At 40.2% G+C, this 24927-nt stretch overlaps 1 protein-coding gene, 1 long non-coding RNA gene and 1 pseudogene across 15 annotated transcripts in view, besides 3 other annotated features; 2 read left to right on the forward strand and 1 right to left on the reverse strand.

Annotated features, from left to right (window-relative positions):
• Positions 1806-2417: an enhancer, noted in NCBI's record as "H3K27ac hESC enhancer chr17:15602763-15603374 (GRCh37/hg19 assembly coordinates)". NCBI's record gives its function as "activates a minimal SCP1, AML or CMV promoter by ChIP-STARR-seq in naive and primed H9 embryonic stem cells {active_cell/tissue: H9 hESC(naive and primed)}" and the evidence as "EXISTENCE:reporter gene assay evidence [ECO:0000049][PMID:30033119]".
• Positions 1853-1902: an enhancer, noted in NCBI's record as "active region_11744". NCBI's record gives its function as "activates an Ori minimal core promoter by ATAC-STARR-seq in GM12878 lymphoblastoid cells {active_cell/tissue: GM12878}" and the evidence as "EXISTENCE:reporter gene assay evidence [ECO:0000049][PMID:35858748]".
• Positions 1913-2232: an enhancer, noted in NCBI's record as "active region_11745". NCBI's record gives its function as "activates an Ori minimal core promoter by ATAC-STARR-seq in GM12878 lymphoblastoid cells {active_cell/tissue: GM12878}" and the evidence as "EXISTENCE:reporter gene assay evidence [ECO:0000049][PMID:35858748]".
• ZNF286A (zinc finger protein 286A) lies at positions 2109-23144 on the forward strand. 14 transcript variants are annotated; one of them, NM_001288645.2, is made up of 6 exons: positions 2109-2134; positions 2405-2723; positions 3509-3597; positions 8744-8858; positions 10512-10604; positions 18357-23144. In NM_001288645.2, exon 6 carries the CDS (start codon positions 18418-18420, stop codon positions 19645-19647), a length of 1230 nt encoding a protein of 409 aa, NP_001275574.1. In that variant the 5' UTR covers positions 2109-2134; positions 2405-2723; positions 3509-3597; positions 8744-8858; positions 10512-10604; positions 18357-18417; the 3' UTR covers positions 19648-23144. The 14 variants fall into 14 exon arrangements, with proteins under 14 accessions (NP_001275574.1, NP_065703.1, NP_001356365.1 ...); NM_020652.3 differs by having other exon boundaries at positions 18416-23144; NM_001369436.1 differs by having other exon boundaries at positions 2405-2525.
• Positions 2109-24927, forward strand: part of ZNF286A-TBC1D26 (ZNF286A-TBC1D26 readthrough (NMD candidate)) — a 46414-nt gene continuing 23595 nt past the window's right edge. Inside the window, exons 1-6 of the long non-coding RNA NR_171000.1 lie at positions 2109-2134; positions 2405-2723; positions 3509-3597; positions 8744-8858; positions 10512-10604; positions 18416-19670. This is a non-coding gene — a long non-coding RNA (ZNF286A-TBC1D26 readthrough (NMD candidate)). The remainder of the gene's footprint in view (positions 2135-2404; positions 2724-3508; positions 3598-8743; positions 8859-10511; positions 10605-18415; positions 19671-24927) is intronic.
• On the reverse strand, positions 6436-7450 carry UBE2SP1 (ubiquitin conjugating enzyme E2 S pseudogene 1; annotated as a pseudogene).

Below are 24927 nucleotides of genomic sequence, written 5' to 3' on the forward strand. Positions count from 1 at the left end.
TCTTTAATTTTTTATTTTTCCATAATTCTTGATTATTTCTTAAAATAGTTCCTCCTCTCTGTTTTTCTTTCCTTATGGATTCTCATAAAGTCTAGTCAGCTTCCATACTGCTTAATATTTCTTTCGTATTTTTCAACTTTTTCTCCCTTCCTGGTATCTTCTGGAAGTGTAGAGTTCCCTAGCCTGATATTGTAGCTTCACTAGAATATTGTAGATATTCACTTTTCAATTTTACACATTCTGCTATCCAATCTAGTATTAACCATCATATTTTGACACACAGTTTCGTTGTTTTTATTTTTATGACAAGTTCTTGCTTGATATTTCCTGTCTCCTCCTTTATCATTCTTAGGATAGCTTTTTAAAAGTATGTGTACAGGCCACACACCTCCTAGGACCGACTGTAGCCATTTGTCTTCCTGTGGGTTTCAAATAAACTTTTCAATAGTTGCTCAATCCAACAATTTCCCTCTTCCAGACAATTCCCAGATTGGATTTTGACAAAGAAGATCCTGTTTTATGTTAGAAAGTGGAATTAGTTAAATTTTCCTGCATAACAATATGACCACATACTCAGTGGTCCAAAATAGCACATGTTTATTATCTCATAGTTTCTATGGGTGAGAGTCTGAGCACAGCTTAAGTGAGTCCTTTGCAGCCAGCTATCAAGATGTCAGGCAAGACAGGGTTCTCATGGGAAGACTCTACAAACAATGATTCACTTCCAAGCACACAGAGCTGTCCAAAGGGTTCAGCTCCTTGCAGGTTGTGGGACCAAGGGCCTTCGGTTCTTGCAGGCTATTGGCTGGAGGCCATCCTCAGTTCCTTGTCATATGGGCCTCCCCAACATCACCACCACTTCATCAAAGCCAGCAAGAGAGGAGTCTCCTAGCAAGACACACGTTAGACTTTTATGTCACCTTTATTGCACTGTATTGGTTAGAAGCAAGTCCCAGTCCATACACAAGAGGGGATTGCACAAAGGTGTAACTACCAGGTGGCTGAGATAATGGGAGTTACAAATCCCTTCTGGGAGCTGGAAATCATCTTTCCTTGAAGTTTCTAAAAGCCACTGAACGGTTTGAAGCACTAAAGTAATAGCATATTCTTGTTTTAGAAAGAGCACTAGCCAGAAAGTGTGGAGAACAGATTGGTGGTAGAGAAAACCTTAGTTAGGGAATCCAGTTACCAGGCTGCAACGGCAATCCTAGTGAAATGGTGGTGGCCCCAACTAAGGTAATGCTACTGAGAATAGAGAAAGATGGAAACAATTGAGTTATTTAAGATACAATGAATAGGACTTGGTGATAAATAGATGGTGAGATCAAAGAGTTAAGAATATTCAGGCTCTGGTTTGTGCAAATGAGTGAGTGGGCAGTAATGTCATTCACTGAGAAAAGGAGGGCAGTCTAGACACGAAGCTGGAGGTGGATGGGTTAGTCCTCTAACAGAATTGGAGAGACTGAATAACTCTCCCTTGAAAGAACCACCTTTTATGATATGTTTAAACTAATGCTTATGTCTGCAAAGAACCTATTGCTTAAATTTGTTACAACAGGTTCAATCTTTTCAACTCATTTTAAATACATGAATTTTAGGATTACAAGTAGTCTGTGGATACAGGAACATCTGACTGAGTGTACAAAGAGGGACCTGCTCTTCCTAAAAACATCCTTCGTATGTTTTGAAAGCAAAAGGATGAGTTCTGGGCGCACAAAATATGGATAAAAGCTATGTATTTTAACGTATCTTACACCGGAGTAATTTGGGTTGAACTCAGCAGCCCTAAGCACTGTGCCGCAGGAACTTGTGCAGACAAAGCGCGGGGACGGACCCTGACTCCGGTCCGCGTCTCCGCTGCTCCCTCCCTCCCTTGCTCTGAGGATTAGACACAGGAGATGCTGCCTCATACTCTCGCGAGACGGACGGAGCTCTTCGATCGTCCGATTCTCCCAGCCGCACCACGGGTGCTCCCACCTGCGGAGAACCGGAGTCTGGCGATGCCAAGGCGCTTCTGGGAATTGTAGTTCCGGGCGGGATGAGGGCAGCACGCCTGGCTCCGCTCCTTCTTACGCATGCGCGACTCCGAGCTGGCCAAAGAAGTTCGTCCCCTTTGTGAGGCCCGGGATGGGAGGTGAGTTGCTTGTGGTGATGTCGCTCGTCTCGGCTCGGCCTCGGCGGTGGTTCCCCGGGTCGTTCTGTGCCGAGTCGGGGCTAGAGTGCGCGTTTGTTAAAGGGGCCTCGAGGGCAGACCATGAGCCCTGTCCCTTCTCACTCTGGCCTGATCCTCTCCTCGGGGGACGCGGTTGTGCCACGGGCGGGGTGGTCGCGGGGTTCTGGGCCAGTGCCCCGAGCGCGGCAGAATTTGTCCAAACTCCTGATGCCCCAGCGTCACCTCTTCCAGGTGCCCGGTTCCCCCAGGGACAGCTTCAAGCGGTAGGGACAGACATCTGAGGACCCAGCCTCAGGGATGCTGTCCCCGGGCTTCCAGGCTCCAGCGCCGTAGGACTGAGGCAGACTCCACGGTGAGAAAGAGACCCGATCTAACCCAGGCCTTTCATCAGAGCCCAGGAGGGAAGGCAGGAAGTGGGACCACGAGGCCCGGGGGGCTTCTAACTCGTCTGGCCAGGGAGATCTGAATTGGGGTGAAGAGCAGAATCTCCAGAACAAGGAGGAGGTGGTGATCATGGAGACAGATTTGGCTGAAATGCCTGAGAAAGGAGGTGAGAATTGCGGACGTGTTGAACTTGTAGCGTGGAAGGACGAAATTCCTGCTCCTGAAGGGAAAACGGTTGGCTCAGGGGAGGTGGCTCTTGGCTGGCTGTCTCCATTGTCTTGGGGATGGATGGGCTTTTTAAGTGAGACTGAAGGGCTTGGTATGGGAGCACCGCCCTTTCCATGGCAGCTGGGCACACAGTGGACCCTTCAAAGCTACCCCCAAAATGTGAGTGAAATGTTAACTTCTATGGCAAGAATTCACCTCTTTGGTTGTCAAAAATGTTTTGTTTTACATAGGAGAAAACAGGCGTAGTAGTTAATGACTGACTTCCATTCTACCTGACCAGTTTCATGAAGGTTGTGCTGTGACCTCCTACACCAGAATTCCCCCTGGGGTGGTTGTTAGATTTCTGGATTGTACCCCAGGCTCAACTAATGCTTATTACTTTGAGGTGGGGTCCAGCAATCTACATTATAAATAAGCTTTCAGAGTGAGAACCAACGAGTATAGATTAAACTGGGAAATTTACTGACATATTCTAATTTCTAGATCAGAGGATGCCATCTTACAGAATGTGTTATGATTATAGCAACTGAATTCGAGCCCAGAGTAGCAATATTCCCGCATATCCCGGGAAGAGGGTCCTGGGAGGAGGTCGGTTGTTTTGGGGGTACCTTCAGTCTCAGTGTTTGTAGGCAGCACATATAGTATGTTGAAGTGGTTTTTAGACTTTAAATCTGAGTGGCACGTTAAGCCTAGGTCTCATCATTACTGCTTTCTTGTCGTTAGCTCTGTCTTCCCAGGATTCTCCCCATTTCCAAGAGAAGAGCACAGAAGAGGGAGAAGTGGCTGCTCTGCGCCTCACGGCCAGATCCCAGGTGAGTGAGTGCTGATTATTGGAATTACACCTTGTTTCTTAGAGTACAGATGCACTCCCTTCTTTGTGATGTGGAGTTTCTTTATCCACTAAAGCCCATCTGCAGAGCTGAGTTCTAAATCTAAGAGACTAGTCAGGAGACTAATGGACTCAGAAGAAAATGTTTTCTACTTATAACACTGGATGGATTTCTTCCCTATTTAGTGTTTATTGTCCCTCAACAGATAGGTAAGCAGCATTTCCCTTTCTTAGCCTCCTATGCTCATTTCTGTGCTTGGTAATGTGAGAAACTATTTTAAATATAATGTGGTACATACCTCTTAAAACTTGTTTCTCTAGAGGAAACAGCATGTATGTGACCTTAAGTGGCAATCTAAGAAAGCACTTAAATGCTGAAGTGATTGTAAAAATAATAAATACTCACATAGTTCAAAGAAATACTGGAAAAGGAAAGCCTATGAAGGCGTAATTTAAAGAGTTACAGTTAGAATCCAGCCCTCTGAGATGATGAAAGCTAAGGTATGATCATGTCTGCAACTTACTTTTATATTGTTGGCCCCTCTCTCCCAAAAGGTAAATATGACAAATATTACGAATGTTTGGCTGGGCGTGGTGGCTCATGCCTGTAATTCCAGCACTTTGGGAGGCCAAGGCAGGTAGATGACTAGGTGAGGAGATTGAGACCATCCTTGCTAACACGGTGAAACCCCGTCTCTACTAAAAACACAAAAAATTAGCCAGGCATGGTGGCACGCACCTGTAGTCCCAGCTAGTCTGGAGGCTGGGGCAGGAGAATCACTTGAACCTAGGAGGTGGAGGTTGCAGTAATCCGAGATCGCACCACTGCATTCCAGCCTGGGCAATGAGGGAAACTCTGTCTCAAAAAAAAAAAAAAAGAATTTTTGAATTTAGGCGGTGATTGTACTATATCAGTGATTATTGCATTCATCTTTCAACTTTTGTATGTTTGAAACTTTTATTAAAAGAAGTTAGGGCTGGGCACGGTGGCTCATGCCTGTAATCCCAGCACTTTGAGAGGCTGAGGCGGGCAGATCACCTGAGGTCAGGAGTTCAAGACCAGCCTGACCAACATGGTGAAACCTCGTCTTTACTTAAAATACAAAAATTAGCTGGGCTTGGTGGTGCGCACTTGTAATCCCAGCTACTCCGGAGACTGAGGCATGAGAATCACTTGAACCCAGGAGGCAGAGGTTGCAGTGAGCCCAGATAGGGCTACTGCACTCCAGCCTGGGTGAGAGTGAAACTGTCTCAAAAAAAAAAAAAAAAAGAAGTTGAGGAGGAAAAAAGGAGCTTTCCATGATGTGTGTGGCATACCACAACCCAGAGATTCCTCAATCAGCCTTTCTCTTTGCTTCTGTAATCCAAGGTGTAAAAAGTAGATACTGCACGTTCATAGTGTTTGTAAAAGTCACTTCCTTTATGTACTTGCCTGTCTCCATTGGCTTCTCAACTGTCTTACATTAGTCTTGAAGACTTTATTAGTCAAGAAGCTTTAAGTTGCAGCTGATAAAGTCAATTCAAATGGGTCTAAGTGAAAAGAAGTAACTATTGACTAACAAACTGAAAAATCTAGGTCTGGCTACATATAGGGCTCAAACAAGAATGTTAAAACCTAATTCTTCATTTTACTGACCTTTTCTCTCCATGGGTTTTATGGCCAAACAAGTTTTTCTCCTAGTGTTGGCCTCTAACGAGTTTAGGCTTACATCTTCCTGTGTTGAAGGCCAGAGAAAAAGGGCAGATTCTCTTCTAGTCATTCTTGCAGAAGTGCTGGGATTGACTCTAATGGGGTATTAGGCCCATTCCTGGATGAGATATTGGCCAAATTTAAGTGTAATTCTTTATAGAATATACCTACACACACACGCACATACACATGCGCGTGCACGCACAAACATCCCACCCATGAATCAGAGATGGCGTCAGTACTACCTGAGCTACACAGATTCAAAGTGGCCAGGCATAGTAGCTAGGGGAAAATTAGGGCACTGGTACCAGAAGCGTGAATATATATTTCAATACTTTGATATCAGATTCAACACTGTTAACAGCATCAAGGTGATTGAACCTATTATGGAAAATTTTTAAAACTCTCTTTGTTCTTTGTGCATTTTATTAGATTTTAAAAATGCAATATTGGAGCTTTTTTTCTTGTTAGAATTTGCCTGGGCTATTTTTTACCTTTGATTTGTTAGATTTTTAAAAATATTAAAAGTTTTAGTTCTTCAATGTAATAAAGTGAACAACACAGACATACAGAAATGTAAAGGTAATGCTACTTCCCCCTCAAATTCAGTCCCTGCCTCTCTCTACTATGTATATTTTTTCACATTTTTTGTTGTACTTGCACTACTGTATTCAGACATATGGTATACTATATTTCCTTCCATCTACCTACCAGTACCCAACCCAGCAATAATATTTTGTTTGGATGGCCTATTCTGTATATAGGATGTGGCTTTTTAAAAAAACCTTTTTATAAGGGAAATTTGCTCATTCACATATAATACATGTGTTTCAAACTTTTATTGCCATGTGATTTTTATAATTCTGTTTCCTGTGCTTTATTGTTTCCTCTTTTGTAGTTTTCCTGCTGTTTGTGCAATGGTTTGCATTTTTGTTGTTCTGGCTTTTTCTTCTAATTTTTGGGCACTTAATCTCCACTGAATGTGGATTTAGTTATGTATATGCAGATTCTAGGCTAAGGTTCATTTTTCCTCATAATGTCTTTTCTACTTAGGGGCTACTTAGTGATTTTTACATATTATTTTATCTTAAGGGAATAATTCTCTTATTATTATTATTATTTTTTTTTTTTTGCTTTTCCAACTTTATTTAGAAAAACAAATCCAGGTCCCAGTGCCCCCTGTACCCTCCCCGACCCCAGCCATAATTTAAATAACTTAGAGACAGAGTTGGAGGGAGGGGACAGGAGAGGTTGGGGTCACGGTGGAAGGAGGAAGAGAGCCCACTACAGCCGCCGCAGCGCCCGCTTCTTGTCCGTCTTTTTCTTGGCCGCCAGCTTCTTATCGCGCTCGCCAGCATGCTTCTTGGCCATGGGACCCTCAGCCCCTCCCAGGCCCCCTGGGGCCCCAGGGTCGGTGGAGGAAGCTGCAGTGCCACTGGCCAGGGCCCGCCCGGCTTCGGCCCTGCCGCTGGGCCCGCCGGCGCCCCCGTGGATCTCTGTGAGCAGACGGGCCCGAGCCGCATACTCCTCGGAGTTCTCCAAGAGCAGGCGGCCCGCCTCCTCGTTGAGTGCAGACTCGGGGTTAGGGTGGATCAGCAGGCACCTGATGGTCAGCAGTACGTGTCGGATGCCCAGCTCAGCCGTCCAGTCCCTCTTGAGCACGTTGACGCAGATCTCGCCATTGGCGCCCACGTTCGGGTGGAAGATCTTGGTCAGGAAGTAGCCCTTGGGTGGGGAGGCAGGGAAGTCCTTCCCCAGCAGGAGTTTCATGCGGAACAGACCTCCAGCATATGGGGTCCCTTCAGGGCCCTCGATGGTGACCTGGAGGTCGGTGAGGTCCTCCTCGTTGGGAAAGACCTTGATGCCATCGGGTGGGTCTGCGGTCAGTGTCGTCACCTCCTTGTACACCAGGCGGATGATGTGCGGGGGCAGTTTCTCCACGTTGGAGTTCATGGCTGCGGCCGGCCGGGGGCGGGTCCCCCCGGCCCCCTTCCTGCGTTCTTCGGTCCGCCGGCCGGGGCGGGGGCCCAACTGCTGCCGCTGCGGCCCTGGAGAGGCCCCGGCGGCCCCGCTCCGCTCCCCGCTGCCTCTGACGTCCGCCGCGCACAGCGTACACCAACCTGCCTCCCCGGTGCCCGGCAGCACTTAATTCTCTTATTTCTTAAATCTTAGATTATTTTCCGCATAGTAGCTTTACTTTGAGATAATTTTAGACATAAGAAGTGTTGCAAATAGCACAAAGAACTTGTATATGCTTCACCCAGATTTTGCAAAAATTTATATTTTACTTTGCTTTATTATTATTTTTTCAAAATCAGGACATTCACATTGGCATAATACTATAACCTACTGACCTTATTCAGATTTTTCCAGCTGTCTTATTTTTCTCTTTTTAAAATTTCTGCTTTTATATTGTAAATATTTCTCTTTTCCTTTGTTTTTTGTTCTAACTTGATTTTTGTGCTCTGGTCATTTATTTACATTTTAAAAAAATGAAATGGAAGTGTTTAAAGCTACAAAATTTCCTCTGAGTACAGTTTTAGCCATGTGGCATTTTTTTTCCTATTTTATTTCATTATTTTCATATTTTGATATATTTTCTCAGTTATTATAAATTATTCCGTTCTATTTTTGGAATGTATTGAAATTTACTTTGTTACTTTTTGCAAATGCTACATGAATGTTTAAACAGTAGGTGTTTTCCATCCAGTTAGAGCATTTGATTCATATTTATTTCAGTAACCTTGAAATATTATTCCTGTTGTCTATGGGTTTACTTAAAGGTGCATGTTCAATGCAGATATGTATCTATCTCCTTATGGTTTTTGTATTTTTTGTCTTATAGAAGTATAATCTTACGATATTTTATACCTAAATATTTATGAATTGTATCTCATAAATTGGAGCCATTTTCCAATTTAATGCTCTTTGCCTTGAATTAATTCATGTTTAACTGGATTGGTTTTTTGCTGTCTTTTCTTTCCGTGACTTCTCCATTTACAAGTTCTGTATTGCAGTTCGTCTTGTGATTGGCTAGATTGACTCTTCAATTTTTTATTGAGGACTCAGAGAAGCATTATGTAGACGTGACTTTTTTTCCCTCTGCTGATATTTTACTTTAATCAAACTACATTGTTGACTTATTGGTTCATATTTTAATACTTTATTCCCCAGAAAAATTGTAGTCTCTCAATGGAGAAACCAGGGTCATCTTTTGGTTCTCATATTGAATCTAGCATAATATGCCTGGTACATAATTGATAGTTACCCTTTACATAAAATACTCCGAATCTGACGACCATTAGAATACTTGTCATTTATCATAGTCAGTTCCCCTCTTAAGTGCATCTCAGGCTTTTGCTCCAGGGCCAGCAGAAACTGGGGGATGAAAGAGAAGTAATTAAGGGAAAGATGTTGAAAAAAATATTTTATGTTTTAGGAAACAGTGACATTCAAGGATGTGGCCATGGACTTTACACCAGAGGAGTGGGGGAAGCTGGATCCTGCACAAAGGGATGTGATGCTGGAGAACTATAGGAACCTAGTCTCACTTTGTAAGAATGGATTGTGATTCTGGAATCTGCTTATAGGAGCATCATTACTTTAATGAAAGTGAAATAGCTTAACAAAGCCTTCACCTTTGCATTCAGGAGTCAAAAAGTGTTAATTCTTTTTGGCCTGTGTAGAAAATCTGTTTTTGCTCTAGATTCTTGATGAAATGTCTGTGCTTGTTTTGTATCAGTATTCTTTGGGTTTAAGTGACAGAAACTTAACTCACACTCTTAAAGGGGAAAAAAATTTTGATTTTTCAGAGATCCAAATATATTATCAAGAATTTCCTTTATTCATTGATTTATTTTTAATCAATTAGCTTGGTTTTGCTCTGTATTAGCTTTATTCCTAGGATTTCCCCATGTGGCAAAGATGGCCAGTGGCAGTCCCAGGGTTACGTTATTCTTCCAGTTAGATAGCAAAGCTAAAAAAGAAAATGCTTCTTTCCTGGGAGTTTCAGCAAATAAGGTCACAGGCCCATCAGTGAAACAATCTCTAGAGCCAGCGAGATTGAGTACTCTGTGGCCAGTTTTAGATCCTGGGCTTACTAGCATGCACGCATACACACATGCATGCATATGATTGTATGAGGGGTGGAGGGGACTGTTAGCCCCTCCCAAACCTTATGTAAAAAAATCCCCTAAGAAAGTGACTTCTGAGGCCGGGCGCGGTGGCTCACGCCTGTAATCCCAGCACTTTGGGAGGCCGAGGCGGGTGGATCACGAGGTCAGGAGATCGAGACCATCCTGGCTAACACGGTGAAACCCCATCTCTACTAAAAACACAAAAAATTAGCCGGGTGCGGTGGCGGGCGCCTGTAGTCCCAGCTACTCGGGAGGCTGAGGCAGGAGAATGGCATGACCCCGGGAGGCGGAGCTTGCAGTGAGCCGAGATTGCGCCACTGCACTCCAGCCTTTTTGTAAGACTCTGTCTAAAAAAAAAAAAAAAATTAAAAAAGAAAGTGACTTCTAATAACTGAAGAAGGAAAGGAAAAACATTAGAAGATAAAACTTCAGTTACCACCGTTACAGTTATGTGGTGCTGCCATTGAGGTCCCGCTTTTTCCTCCTTTCCTGAGGTAAGGACTAATTTGCAACATCTCTCTGAAGTTTCCTCACACAATAAGGAAATAAAGAGAAATTCCTTTCTTTTCTGACAGTTGAAAATATTTGTATTTTCCAAATCCAATTGAACTCCTTACCAGGCCCAGACTCTTGCTGCAGATATTTAAGCTTCATTTAGAGGTCCACCCTCCCTTACTTCAGCTCTTCCTGTAATACTTTGTAGATCAAGAGGTTGAGACCATATTCCGGTTTAGATCTTTATACCCATTACAAATAACTAAGTCCAGCAGGACGGTGGCCATGAAAGTTGGTCGTGGTGGCTCACACCTGTAATCCCAGCACTTAGGGAGGCAGAGGTGGGAGGATAGCTTGAGCCCCGGAGTTCGAGACCTGCCTGGGCAATATAGTGAGATCCCATTAACTTTAAAAATAAAAAATAAAAAGTAAATTTTTATAAATTAAAAAAAAAGAAAGAAAGTTGGAATTCACTAAGGAATATGTAACAATTCAACTGGCTTGAAGAAAACTTCCACAAATAACTTACTCCCATTACTTTCTTCTTTCTGTCTTTTTCTTTTTTTAAATGAATAGGGCTTCCAGTTTCCAAACCTGAGAGCTACAACTTGGAGAATGGAAAAGAACCATTGAAGCTTGAGAGAAAAGCCCCCAAAAGCAGCTATTCAGGTGAGCCAGATAGATGGGAGTCTTCATAAATGATAGCCCAGCAGGACAATGAAGAAATACTTTTCAGTGCTTAAGAAAGTGCCTGTGTGCCCTTATTTTTAAATTTTTTTAAAATTCTAAAGCATTTAAAATATATACAGAAGTCCAGAAAATAAAATAACATTCATGTATCCATCACTGAGATTAGACACGTACTAATATTTTGCTTCGTTTGCCTCTTTTCTTTCTTCCTTTCTTTTTCTTACAATATAAAACTAATAATTATACAGTTGGATGAATTTTCACTAATTTAGCACATTCATGTAACGATTGCCCAAATCAAGAAAATAGCCTTACCAGCGCCTCTAGAAGCACCGGTGTGCCCTGTTTCAGGACCCTCCCTTCTCCCAAGGGTCACCTTATCCTAACTTATAGCACCAAGTTTTGACGGTTCTTGAACTTTCTATAAATGGAATCATATTGTATATACTCTTGTGTCTGGCTTCCTTCACTGCACATTAGCTGTGAGATACATCTTTGTTGCTGCATATCATCATAATTTATTCATTATCATTGTATAATTTTTTGTTTTGTTAATATACCCAGTTTATTCTTCTGAAGATGAGTATTTGGATAGTTTCCAGTTTTTAGCTGTCTGAATAATGCCACTATGTACACTTTTTAAATGCCTTTTGGTGAACAAATATATGCATTTCTTCTGGATATATACATACAAGTAGACTTGTTTTATCAGAGGATAGATACATACTCACTTTTGGTAGATAGTGCCAAAGAGGTTTCTAGAGTCATTGTACCAATTACATTCCTAGCAGCAGAGTATGTGCGTTCTAGTTGTTCCACATGCTTGTCAACACTTAATATTGCTTGTTTTCATTTTAGCCATCCTTTTGAGGTGTGTGATGTCTTTTATTTTTTAAGAAATAAAAATATTACATATTCAGTTAAAGCCCTTTTATTCTCAGCTGGGTGTGGTGACTCACGCCTGTAATCCCAGCACTTCGGGAGGCCAAGGTGGGTGGATCACCTGAGGTCAGAAATTTGAGACCAGCCTGGCCAACATGGTGAAACCCCGTCTCTACTACAAATACAAAAAAATTAGCCGGGCATGGTGACAGGCACCTGTAATCCTAGCTACTTGGGAGGCTGAGGCAGGAGAATTGCTTGAACCCAGGAGGCAGAGGTTGCAGTGAGCCGAGATCATGCCATTGCACTCCAGCCTGGGTGACAGAGGGAGACTGTGTCTCAAAAAAAAAACAAAAAGCAAAGAAAAGAAACCCTTTTATTCTCTTTCTCCCCTAGAAGTAACCATTATATCTTGAAATTGGTGTGAATCATTTCGGTGTTTTTGTATGTGTGTGTATACACAGAGATATATACATATGTATGTAAAACAATCTGTATGTTTTATTGTTACACTTTTTCTTATGTAGTCTGATTTCTTAAAGTTCACATTGTATTTCGATATTAATCTATGTTAATATATATGAATTATGTTATTCATTTTAACTACTGTGGAGTCATAAGTCCACTGTATGAATAAACTGAACAGTTTATTTTTTTTCTGTTAGCAGTTGCAGTGATCATCCTTTTTTTGATTCCTTATGTTCATCTTGAGAGCTGGTTTAGGGAGATAACTGGAAGAAGAATTAGTAGGTCTTAAATCATCACATGTTTAGCTTTACTAGGAACTGCCAACAGTTGAGTTATCAGACTTGTTAATTTTTGTCAATCTGACGGATGCAAAATGATGTTTTAAAATTTTCATTTCTCTGAGTGATAAATACAAGTTTGAGCATTTCATGTTACTTGGCTATTCAAGTTTCTTGTGAGTTACCTGTTGATACCCTTTGCCTGTTTTTTGAGATTGGGCTGTTTATATCTTTTCTCTTGATTTGGTGGAGTTCTTCATATATTTTAGGTACTAATCTATGACAGAAGTAGCATTGCAAGTCAGTGAGAAGAAATTGGTTCTTCTAATCTTTGGCTTATTTTATTTTCTGGTGTGTTAGGCATATAGAATTAAACATTTTTAATAACAAACTTTTTTTTTAAATAGTGCTTTTTGTGAATTGTCTATCTACTTTATCCCAGTGTCAGAAAGATTATTTTATTCCAAAATGTTCAATTTTGTTTTACAGGTATTTATTTTTGTATATGATGAAATGGGAAAACTAATTTTGTCTTTTTCCATGCTGAAAGCCAATAAGTCCAGCATTGTTCATGGAATAATCTTATGTTACTGATTTGTAATGCTACCTGTGGTAAACCCAGTTCCTCAGCATACTTAGTTCTATTTCTTGTCTCTCTGGTTTACTTGTCTGTCTATGTCTAATACCAGACTGTTTTATTTACTATACTTAGTATTATATATAGCTCATAAAGAAAATCCTTCCTGGATATTATTATTTTTAAAAAAGTTATACTTTTGAATATTGAAAGAGTTTAAAAATCTTTCCGTGATTATGGATATATCTGTTTCACCCCAGAGACCTATTAGTTTCTGTGACTTACCCACTCACCACCCATCTCCCTTTTTTGGGGTATTGCAGTTTTCATAGTGATCTGTTAAGAGGTCCTTATATATGAGGTTTTTACCTTTTCTTATGTTACAGATATTTTTTCTAGTTTTTGACTTTCAGTTTTGCTATGCATTTTGATGTACAAGTTTAATTTTTTTTTTTTTTGACGGAGTCTTGCTCTGTCTCTCAGGCTGGAGTGCAGTGGCACGATCTTGGCTCACTGCGGCCTCCACCTCCTAGGTTCAAGCAATTCTCCTGCCTCAGCCTCCCGAGTAGCTGGGATTACAGGCATACGCCACCAAACCCGGCTAATTTTTTTTTATTTTTAGTAGAGATGAGGTTTCACCGTGTTAGCCAGGGTGGTCTCGATCTCCTGACCTCATGATCCGCCCGCCTAGGCCTCCCAAAGTGCTGGGATTACAGGCGTGAGCCACTGCGCCCGGCCCTCAAGTTTAATTTTTTATAATCTTTTTTTTTCTGCCTTTTCAGTGCTGCTTAAAATGTGTTTCATTAATCCAAGGTTACATATATATTTGCCTCTGTTTACTAGTATATTCTTTAATTTTTTCTTTAGATTCTTAATCCATTTGGAATTGCTTCTTACTTCTCTGAGTGTATCTTCTTAGCCTTCTTTTTTGAACAATTAAATATTCTAATTACTCAAAATTTGATTTTAATCTCCCTTCCTTTTGTATACCTGGAGTCATAAACTTGAGTACTTACATGGGCCAGGAGGTAATAACACTGAGTTAAGCAAGCAAGGTGGAAACTGGTGAACCAGAGGAGTACAGGCCTCAACTGAAAGGAGTGGCTCTAGCTCAAGGGCTGGCAAGCTTTTTATGTAAATGGCTAGACAATAAATAATTACCCTTTGTGGGACATGGTGTCTCTGCAGCCATTCGATCTTCCACAGTAGTATGAAAGCAGCCCTAGAAAATGCATACATGAATGGGTATGTTCCAGTAAAAAATTATTTAGCAAAGTAGGCAGCAGGCTGTAGTTGCCAATCCCTGCTCTAAATGGTGGTTGTTGTTCAGTACGCTTCCAGTTTTTTTCAAGAGAGAAACTCTAAATTTGCATTTATCTGTAATCTGCCCCCCCCCCGGCTTTTTTTTTTTTTTTTGAGATGGAGTCTCGCTCTATTGCCCAGGCTGGAGTGCAGTGGTGCGATCTTGGCTCACTGCAAGCTCTGCCTCCTGGGTTCACGCCATTCTCCTGCCTCGGCCTCCTGAGTAGCTGGGACTACAGGTGCCCGCCACCACACCCGGCTAATTTTTTTGTATTTTTAGTAGAGATGGGGTTTCACCGTGTTAGCCGGGATGATCTCAGTCTCCTGACCTCATGATCCGCCCTCCTTGGCCTCCCAAAGTGCTGGGATTACAGGCGTGAGCCACTGCGTCCAGCAATAATCTCCCTATTTTTAACTGTGTATAACTAGTTTTAAAAGTTTGTATAAAAAGTGTGGCCCAGAGAAAATGTGTCTAAGGTCTGATTTGGCCAACTGATCAACTGTTTGCAGCCTCTACTTACTACTTCATTAGTCTCATCATTCCCACAACCAGTTACCTTCTATCAAGATGAGTCCCAAATTGGTATTTCCATCCTAGAGCTCTCCTCAGGGCTGTTCTCAACATCTTAACTATTTGATTCCTTTGTTTGCTTATGTCAAAGATACTTCAATACAACATGTTTAAAACTGAATGTCTAAAATAAGTCTAAATTTCCCATCTCCCCAACAGCATCCTTTTCCAGTAATTGTTTTAATGGTACTTACTGTCATCAAATTGTACGTGGTGGAAATCTACGCACAGTCTTTACATCACCCCCTCTCTCCTTTATCCAATTAATCACTGTATTTACCTAATTATATTCTAAGTATTTCTTCACTGTTAATTTTCCTTCATATATTTTTTGTTTTCCTGGATTACTGTGATAATCTTTGTGATTCCGCCTTTGCCCTCATATACTTCATTCTCAACATTGTAGTGAGACTGATATTTTCATAATCAAATCTCATCTTGTCATCACTCTGCTTGGAACATTTGAATGGCTTCTCGCTGCCTTCACGGTAACAGACAAAATCCTGGAGGTCTACAAAATCTTGTGAAATCTGGCTTTTACTCATTATCCCAACCTCATTTCACAGCTACTCTTCTTCCATCTCTGTGCTCTAGTGTAGCAGTTCTGAATGCTTTGGCATCAGAGGACCTACTGTAACTATAAAAATTGTTAAAGACCCTAAAGATGTTTGATTTATGTAGGTTACATCTACCAATAGTTACTATACTACAAGTTAAAACAGAAAAATTTTAAGCTATTAGCTAATTCATTTAAAAATAATTGGCCGGGTGTGGTGGTCCACACTTGTAATCCCAGTGCCTTGGGAGGCCAAGGTGGGTGGGTTGATTGAGCCCAGGAGTTAGAGACCAGCCTGAGCAATAAAGTGAGACCCCATCTCTTAAAAGAAAAATAGAAATAAAAAATTATAAACATGTCGTGTTAGCACAGTATATTTTTTTGTTAAAAAACATCTATTTTCTTTAACCAAAAAATGTTATTAAGAAGTATGGCATTGTTTTACACTTTTGCCAATCTCTTTAATGTATGACATTATAGAAGGTAGCTATATTCTTACAACTGCTTCTGAATGCAACTTGATATGACATGTTGTTTTGGTTGCCATGCATGGAGAAAATCCAGCATCACACAGATACAAGTTGGAAAAGGAAGGAGTATTTTATAGTCTTTTCAGGTAATTATGGCTATTCTTCTTTGAAACAGCTCCAAAACTGAACAAGTGATACTTTCTGAAAGATTAGGTACAATGTAGAATCTGAAACCACATCCATAAATTTTTCATATATTGAAATCTATCAATCTTTTGGACAATATTGGTTCACTAAGTGCAGATCTTCTTTGTTGACACTTTATATTGTGCAATATTTTTGAATATTATAACTTTTAGTATCACAACTGACCTTATCAGAAAAGCCTTTAAGTTTTAGGAAGCCATCAAGCTCTCGGTGGTAAATAGAAGTTTTCCAAAACTTGTAATTTCTGCCTGAAAGCTCAAATTTTATAAAAAACTCATTTGTTGTCCTTGATATGACAGGTTCACTTTGTTCATTTTTGAGAAACTGTCTGCCAGATACCCAAGTTAGATAACATAGTTTGCCATTCAGTCATCCTTTCAGGTAAAATGGTGGTCTGTGAAACAAGTGGCTGGTTCAGCTCACAACTCAAATGATTGCATGGTATATTTCCTCAAGATGACCATTGTTCTTTGGTATAAACAGAATTGCTTTACGAATATTTCCTATTTCATTAACCCTGAATATTAAAAAGGCACTTCAAGGATTAAAATTCAATGAAATTAATGTTTATGCTTCCTTAGACATTTTTGAATAAAACTGGCTTTTTTTTTTTTTTTAAACCAAGAGTACATGATGGGGAAGAATACAAGGACTACTAGTAAGTTTAGTATCATTGTGTTGATTTGTGCGAAGTTGTAAGCAATTTTACCATTACTTTTACAACATCATGGAAAATGTTGAGACAATGAAAAAGGCAAATAACATCTAAATGTTATTTTGGAAGCAGTTTTGAACTTATAGTTTCCCAGGGATTCATGGACCATACTTGAGGATCTTTACCTCTACCTACCTATACAAGCCTTATGTCAATTTATGTTTTATTTATTTAACAAGCACTTAATGTAGCACTTATGCTGTGTCAGAGTTTTAAATGCTTCATAGATATTTGCATTAATGCTCATTAAGGTAGCTATTGCTATCATTCCTTGCAAGATGGATACTGTTATTGCCCTCTCTTACACATAAGGAAACCGAAGTAAAGAGGTTAAATAACTTATCCAGTATCACACAGCTAGTAAGTGGCAAAACTGCAATTCAGATTTTGCTCGTGAATGTTAGATTAAATTTTCTCTTCCTCTATATGTATAGTGACTGTTTTTTCCCAGTGACTAGTTCAGAGCCTAGCACATGGAGGATATTCTATAAATATTTGTTGAAAAAAATGGATAGAAGATGAATAGATAGATGAATGAATATAATTTATTTGAGTGTATGAAATGAGTGACTCATCTAACTTAATTTTCTTCTAATAGTTAATCAGTTGCCATGGCATCATTGGAAAAACAAATCTATGTTTTGTTCACTGACTGAAATACCACCTTCATATTATCTTTAATTCTTACATATACTTTATTTCTGTATTTGCTCTTCTATTTTACTCCTGTTTATTTCTTTGAACTACAGTGCTTAAAATATTTTCTCTATATAAATTAGCTTTATATTGGATATAAAAATTCTACTATATTTATATTAGATATATTTAGAGAGGTTAAGCTTCCATCTCTGCCCTCTCTCCCATGTTCTGATGTTTTCCCTATAGGTACAAATTTTTATTGGTTTTCCATTTATCCTTTTTTTATTTTTTTTTAAATGTAAGCAAACAGTATAGGTATTTGTACCCCTTTTTTTTCTTTATAAAAAAGTAGCAAACTGTGTGTGCTTATTTATAGCTTGCTTTTTCCTTTTAAACTTAATATATCCTGGTGGTCACCTTATAGCAATATGTAAAGATCTTTGTTATTTTTTCAGGAGATGGATAGTACTCCATTGTTTGTATCCACTATATGTTCAATCATTTCTGTATAGTAGGATATGTGAAATGTTATCAGTCTTTTGCTACCTGAATTAGTGCTTCAACAAATAGCCTTATGCATATATCATTTCATATATTTGTCATTATGCCTTTGGGAGATCATAGGAGGTTTTTGATCAGCAAAATGTTATAAAAGCATTGTTAGGAAGATTAAACTGGCAATGGAATACATATTTGGATGTGAGTAGGATTGGAATAGTGAAAATTTAGAAGCCATAACTGTACTGTACATTAAGATGGTTATGTGCCTAGAAATTTATTACAATAAGTAGGTATTCTATAAAAAGTTATTTCTTCCCATCCTGATCTGTGTACTCATTGTCTGCTCATCTGTGGATATATTGCTTCATTGGCATCTCTACTCTTATATTTTTTGTCATCTTTCTCCTCTTCCGACTCTCCTGGATAGGATGTACTTATTTTCTCTGCATAGTCTGAGCATTTGTTTCCCTCCATTTGTTTCTCTTTGCAAATCATCTGAAAGAGTCAAATCCACTTGCTCCTTGAAGGCATGCTTTTCACTTTCATTAACTCTTACCTATTACAGAACTGCCTTTTTGTTGAGCACAGAAAACGAAGGAAATTTGCATTTCCAATGTCTTTCAGACATGGAGACTAGACCACAGAGCAAGGATTCAACTTCAGTGCAAGATTTTTCCAAAGCAGAATCATGCAAAGTTGCAATAATAGACAGACTGACACGGAATAGTGTCTATGACTCTAACTTGGAAGCAGCCCTTGAATGTGAAAATTGGTTAGAGAATCAGCAAGGAAATCAGGAGAGACATTTGAGAGAAATGTTCACTCACATGAATTCACTCTCTGAGGAAACAGACCATAAGCATGATGTATACTGGAAAAGCTTCAATCAGAAATCTGTCCTTATCACTGAAGACAGAGTTCCCAAAGGATCTTATGCCTTCCATACACTTGAAAAAAGCTTGAAACAAAAATCAAACTTAATGAAAAAGCAGAGAACTTATAAAGAGAAAAAACCTCATAAATGTAATGATTGTGGTGAACTCTTCACCTACCATTCAGTGCTTATTCGACACCAGAGAGTCCATACTGGAGAGAAACCCTATACCTGCAATGAATGTGGGAAATCTTTTAGCCACAGAGCTAATTTAACTAAACACCAGAGAACTCATACTAGAATTCTCTTTGAATGCAGTGAATGCAAGAAAACCTTCACAGAAAGCTCATCCCTTGCAACACATCAGAGAATTCACGTTGGAGAGAGACCTTATGAATGCAATGAATGTGGGAAAGGTTTTAATCGAAGTACACATCTTGTGCAGCATCAGTTGATTCATACTGGAGTGAAGCCTTATGAATGTAATGAATGTGATAAAGCTTTTATTCATTCATCAGCACTCATTAAACATCAAAGAACTCATACTGGAGAGAAACCTTATAAATGTCAAGAATGTGGGAAAGCCTTTAGCCATTGCTCATCCCTAACTAAGCATCAGAGAGTTCATACTGGAGAAAAGCCATATGAATGCAGTGAATGTGGAAAAACTTTTAGTCAGAGCACACATCTTGTTCAACATCAGAGAATTCACACTGGAGAGAAACCCTATGAGTGTAATGAATGTGGGAAAACCTTCAGCCGGAGCTCCAATTTTGCTAAACATCAAAGAATTCATATTGGAAAGAAACCGTACAAATGTAGCGAGTGTGGAAAAGCCTTCATTCATTCATCAGCTCTCATTCAACATCAGAGAACTCATACCGGAGAGAAACCCTTTAGATGTAATGAGTGTGGGAAAAGCTTTAAGTGCAGTTCATCTCTCATCAGACATCAAAGAGTTCACACTGAAGAGCAACCCTGAAAAATTACTGAATGTGAAGAAATGTAAGTTGGTTTTATCACTGTATTAAATACTTGAGTGTTTAGGTGGAAGGCGCATCCATAATATGCATGTGAGGACCAATTCTGTATGCATCTAATTTCATTTGCGTAATACATAGTTTTGAGCCATAAGCAGGTTCTTTATGTCCGTTAATTTGATAATTATGAAATCTAGCCAGCGATTTCAAAATTTTAATCTCCAACGTCCCAAATAGCTATCTGTGGAAATTCAAGAAGTCCCTGAGAGTAGGTAGCAGTACGAACATTGTGAAATCCAGTTTTCCCCTCTCTTGTTTATGTCAGAGCTTTGTTGTAAGCCTCTCACTTTGTAAGGAAATTCTTATTGGGTAGGTTAGGCTGAGGGCTTACATCCTTATCATCAGGAAGACACAATGTTGTTATTTATTACTCCTTGAGATCTAGATACACATATGGTATAATTCATCTAGAGTGTAATTTCTTTTATATTAGCCTTAAAAACCAAAAATGCTGGGTTCAAAGTCCTTAGAATTCCCTTCCTCCCTCAACAAGCTGCTGTCTATGTTGATGACCATAACTGGGATGTATAATATTTACAGACAACTCTAAGTTACGTTCACATGGATTATGTACATCATTGATTTTTTTTTTTTTTTTTTTTTGAGACAGAGTCTTGCTCTGTTGCCCGGGCTGGAGTGCAGTGGCGCGATCTCGGCTCACTGCAACCTCCACCTCCCAGGTTCATGCCATTCTCTTGTCTCAGCCTCCCAAGTAGCTGGGACTACAGGCACCTGCCAGTACGCCTGGCTAATTTTTTTTGTATTTTTAGTAGAGATGGGGTTTCACCATGTTAGCCAGGATGGTCTTGATCTCCTGACCTCGTGATCTGCCTGCCTCGGCCTCCCAAAGTGCTGGGATTACAGGCATGAGCCACCATGCCTGGCATCATCATTGATTTATGTCATTGTTATCCCTCTACCGCGGAGACCTTCTTTCATTTTCCATTTCCCTGGGAGTTCACGTGAAGTAGTGAATGGGTCAAAATCTTAACAGTGGTTGTTGATCAAGTCCTTCCTTTCTTATCCTTGGCACTGAATAAATCTTTGGTTTTCCATAATCAAAGGGTGAGGGAGACTTCTTTTGTCTACATTATTCAGCTTTCTGAAAGCTATGCTGTGTCCATTTGAGAAAAAGCCCCAGGGATATTGAAGGTCTGAGAAGTTGAGTGGTTCAGTGTGTTATTATATTTAGGGTCCCAGTAAAGAAGAACTGAAGCAACTGTGAGACACCAGGGCATACTTCCCTGTATGAGTGGAAAACAAGGCACGGAAAATAGCTCACAGGATAGTCCTCAACTGACTTGCTTGAGGATAAGCAGCTTCCCTTCGTGAAGAAGTTGCCATTTCTCTGGCCTTCATATTTATCTACTTTTTGTTATTGTTGTCTGTATCGGTTCAATCTCACACTGCTATAAAGAAATGCCTGAGACTGGGTAACTTATAAAGAAAAAAGGTTTAATTGGCTCATGGTTCCATGGGCTGTACAGGAAGTATGACTGGGGAGGTCTCAGGGAGCTTTTACTCATGGCAAAAGGCAAAGCCAGAGCAGGTATCTTCACAGGGCTAGAGCAAGAGGAAAAGAGAGAGGGGAGGTGCTACACACTTTTTATGCAACCAAATCTCATGAGAACTCTATCACGAGACAGCAGTAGGGGGACAGTGCTAAATCATTCATGAGAAACTACCTGCGTGGTCCAGTCACCTTGCACCAGGCCCCACCTCCCACATTGGGGATTACAATTAAACATGAGATTTGGGTGGGGATACAGATCTAAACTGTATCATTACTCAAAAAAAAAAAAAAAAAGAAAGAAAAGAAAACACAGGAAAAGGAACTCACCTCTTTTATCATCTTAGTATTTAGTACTAATGGTTTAGAGCAGGAATTGACAAACTGTGGCCTGGACTCATGGACCAACTCTGGCCCACCACCTGTTTCTCAGAAGAAAATTTTATTGGAACTCAGCCACACTTACTCATTTACATGTTGTCCTTGACTGCCTTTGTGTCCAGTGTCAGAACTGAGTAGCTGCAGCGGAGGTTGTGCCTCTGGGCTTTAATATCACAAACAGAGCAGCTTATAAGCAACAGAAACTTACTTCTCACAGTTTTGGAGGCTGGGAAGTCCAAGATCAAGGTGTCAACATATTTAGGGTCTAGGGAAGGTCTGCTTCTTGGTTAATAGAAAGCACCTTTCACTGTGTCTTCACATGGTAGAAGGGGAGAGCTCTGGTATCTTCAGCCCCTTATAAGGGCACTAATCCCATTCATGAGAGCTCCACCCTCACGACCTAATCACCTCCAAAAGGCCCCATTTCGTAATACCGTCAGTTAAGTTTCATTATATGACTTTGATGGGGATATAGCCCATAGTAGGTTGTATGTCCCTGAAAGCCTAAAATATTTACTGTTTGGCTCTTTACAGAAAATATTTTCTTGGCCCCTGTTCCAGAGCATTCATCAAGTCAGATAAAGGGTTTAAACCAGTCAGAGAAACTAGGTGGAATGGAAAAGTACTGAGAGATAATTGGGGACAGAAAAATAAAAGAGATGGGAAATGCTGCATCAAAATACTCCTACCTCTAGGATGTTACTATATATTGTTAGGAGAATTCAAGTTATTGAAACTTGCCAAATTCTTGAGTGAAGAGGAATTCATTTGAGAGCCAAAATTTGACTAAGGAAAGAAGACCAACATGGGCTTTCCAAAGTTGAGTTTGAATTCTGCCATCCCCACTAAGCAGTCATGTGACCTTGGAAAAACTCCCTACTCTGAGTCTCAGTTTCTTTATCTGTATTAGGTTTCAACAAAGGGAATAAATCATTGGCTTCTCATGAGGTTGTCATAAGGATTAAATAAGACAATGCATATAAAAGAACTGGCAGACAATAAATATAGAGTCCCCCACTCCTGCTTGGTGCTCTCTTTCTCTCTCCTTCTCTACATAGAGAAGTGCCAGAGCATCCGTCAGTAGAAGTTACTTAAGGTTGGCTGTGTCTTCCACATCTTTTGTTTACCCATGAAGAACTGTGACCATCTTGTTCTGTGTCTTGTCATAAAGATGGGACGTGACTTCTTTCTGCTCTTGCTTCCATCTGGTGCTGTTTTCTGCACAGCCTCCTTGAGACCTTCCAGAACCTTCTTTTTTCCTACTTCATATCACTTAACCAGTAGCTATCTGGGATGGTTCCAGAGGCTGAAGTTTGCAGTTGAATAACATTTTAAATAGTGTTAAGCGACTTGGGATCTCTGGCCCTTTGCGTTTCAGTATTTGTCCTTTTTATGCCTGATGTTTAACCTGCCACATGTTTGTACTGCAACATGAATCTTGGAAATTTTAATGTTATGCATTTCAAATGTTTTTGGTTATCTGTAAACTAAATGTGCCCTTATTGGCTCACTTGTCAATAAAGATGTTTGTATATGTATTGTCAGAAACTTTTGTAAATTGCTTTTAAATTCTTCCTTTTTTAAAGCATATTTTAAGATGTAATGAAGGACCAACCAAAAAATATCTCCATATCATTCAGGATACCAATCCCATTTCTAGCTGGTCATCTGGCTTCACAACTTCTGGAGAGATGGGATGGGAGATACCGTCAGCAACCCAAGTATCTGCAAGAAGGTTAAGGAGTAGAGGAAGATAGTTTCTAACAAGTAGTACTGAGTCCCCAGGCCAGGTATAGGCACTACTCAGTAGGGCTAATTGGGGTGAAAGGGAGGGAATAACTTCGTATAAAAAGCACAGTTAAAATTAGGCAAAATGGGCCAGGTGCGGTGGTTCAAGCCTGTAATCCCAGCACTTTGGGAGGCTGAGGGAGGCAGATCACCTGAGGTCAGGAGCTCGAGACCAGCCTGACCAACATGGAGAAACCCCATCTCTACTAAAAATACAAAATTAGCCAGGCATGGTGACACATGGCTGTAATCCCAGCTACTCGGGAGGCTGAGTCAGGAGAATCACTTGAACCCGGGAGGCAGAGGTTGCAGTGAGCCAAGATAGTGCCATTGCACTCCAGCCTGGACAACAAGAGCGAAACTCCATCTCAAAAAAAAAAAAAAAAAAAATTAGGTAAAATGTCATAAAAATCTTATTTTGTGTAACTTTTCAATTATATCTGGTTTGGGGGAAGACAATGTAATATCACCCAAAAGTATAAAAGTGATAATGTAAGAATACTAAATATTCAAATTGATTGGCAATTAACTAGATCAATTATCTATTGAAAATTTGTCATAGTTTTTATTTTCTTAGATGTGTTCTCACTTTTAAAAATATGTGTTTATCGGTTGGGCGCGGTGGCTCACGCCTGTAATCCCAGCACTTTGGGAGGCTGAGGCGGGTGGATCATGAGGTCAAGAGATCGAGACCATCCTGGCCAACATGGTGAAACCCTGTCTCTACTAAACATACAAAAATTAGCTGGGCGTGGTGGCTACTAGGGAGGCTGAGGCAGGAGAATCGCTTGAACCCAGGAGATGCAGGTTGCAGTGAGCCGAGATTGAGTCACTGCACTCCAGCCTGATGACAGACCAAGACTCTGTCTCAAAAAAAAAAAATGTGTTTATCAGAAGATGACTCAAGTTGGAAGCCTGCTTTCTTCCCTTCCTTGTGTAATTCTTTCTGGGCCCCAACTAGGCAGTCTTGGGACCCATAGCCATATGAGCTGTCCCTCTCCATAAGTTTCATTGACAAGGTAGAAGGCTATTCCCTGTAGTAATATATATAAAATGTGGCATCTGGTCCTACTGTGTAGTTTCCACTTATAAACCTCAAAAAATTAGATGTTTTTACTGAATTGTTTTTTATTTTTTTCATGATGTAACCTCTGTTTATAAATCCCTTAGATTGAGTGAACTATACAAAAAAGGTGCATGCTTCACCTCCCTCCCACTCCCACCAATTCATGAAACACGTAATCATCATGTCAGCAAAGTTCACATATCTGGGGCAATCCATGGAGTCAAACTAGAGATAAATGCTTTGCTATTAATAGATCGAGGACTGTCCGCCTCCATCTCTGCTCTGGCTTCCTCTCTGTTGGATGTGCTTTTCTTAGTCTCTTGCAGCGACAAATAGCCTACTGGCACTTGGAAGTTATATTACGGTTCTTGGCATTCACAATTCCAAGGAAAGTACCTCTTTCCAAATAGCTCCAGCAAAATCCCTGAGGCTACTTCTCCACTTTGCTTGAGTCGTGCTGATCACTGAACCTTTTAT

This window comes from Homo sapiens, chromosome 17 (assembly GCF_000001405.40).
Source record: "Homo sapiens chromosome 17, GRCh38.p14 Primary Assembly".
Taxonomy (NCBI): domain Eukaryota; kingdom Metazoa; phylum Chordata; class Mammalia; order Primates; family Hominidae; genus Homo; species Homo sapiens.

Bases quoted from the DNA above. Each gene is read 5' to 3' on its own strand.
- ZNF286A (NM_001288642.2), top strand. The intron at 8,859-10,511 runs GTAAGAATGGAT...TTAAATGAATAG, and splicing joins TAGGAACCTAGTCTCACTTT to GGCTTCCAGTTTCCAAACCT. The intron at 10,605-18,415 runs GTGAGCCAGATA...AATGTCTTTCAG, and splicing joins CCCCAAAAGCAGCTATTCAG to ACATGGAGACTAGACCACAG.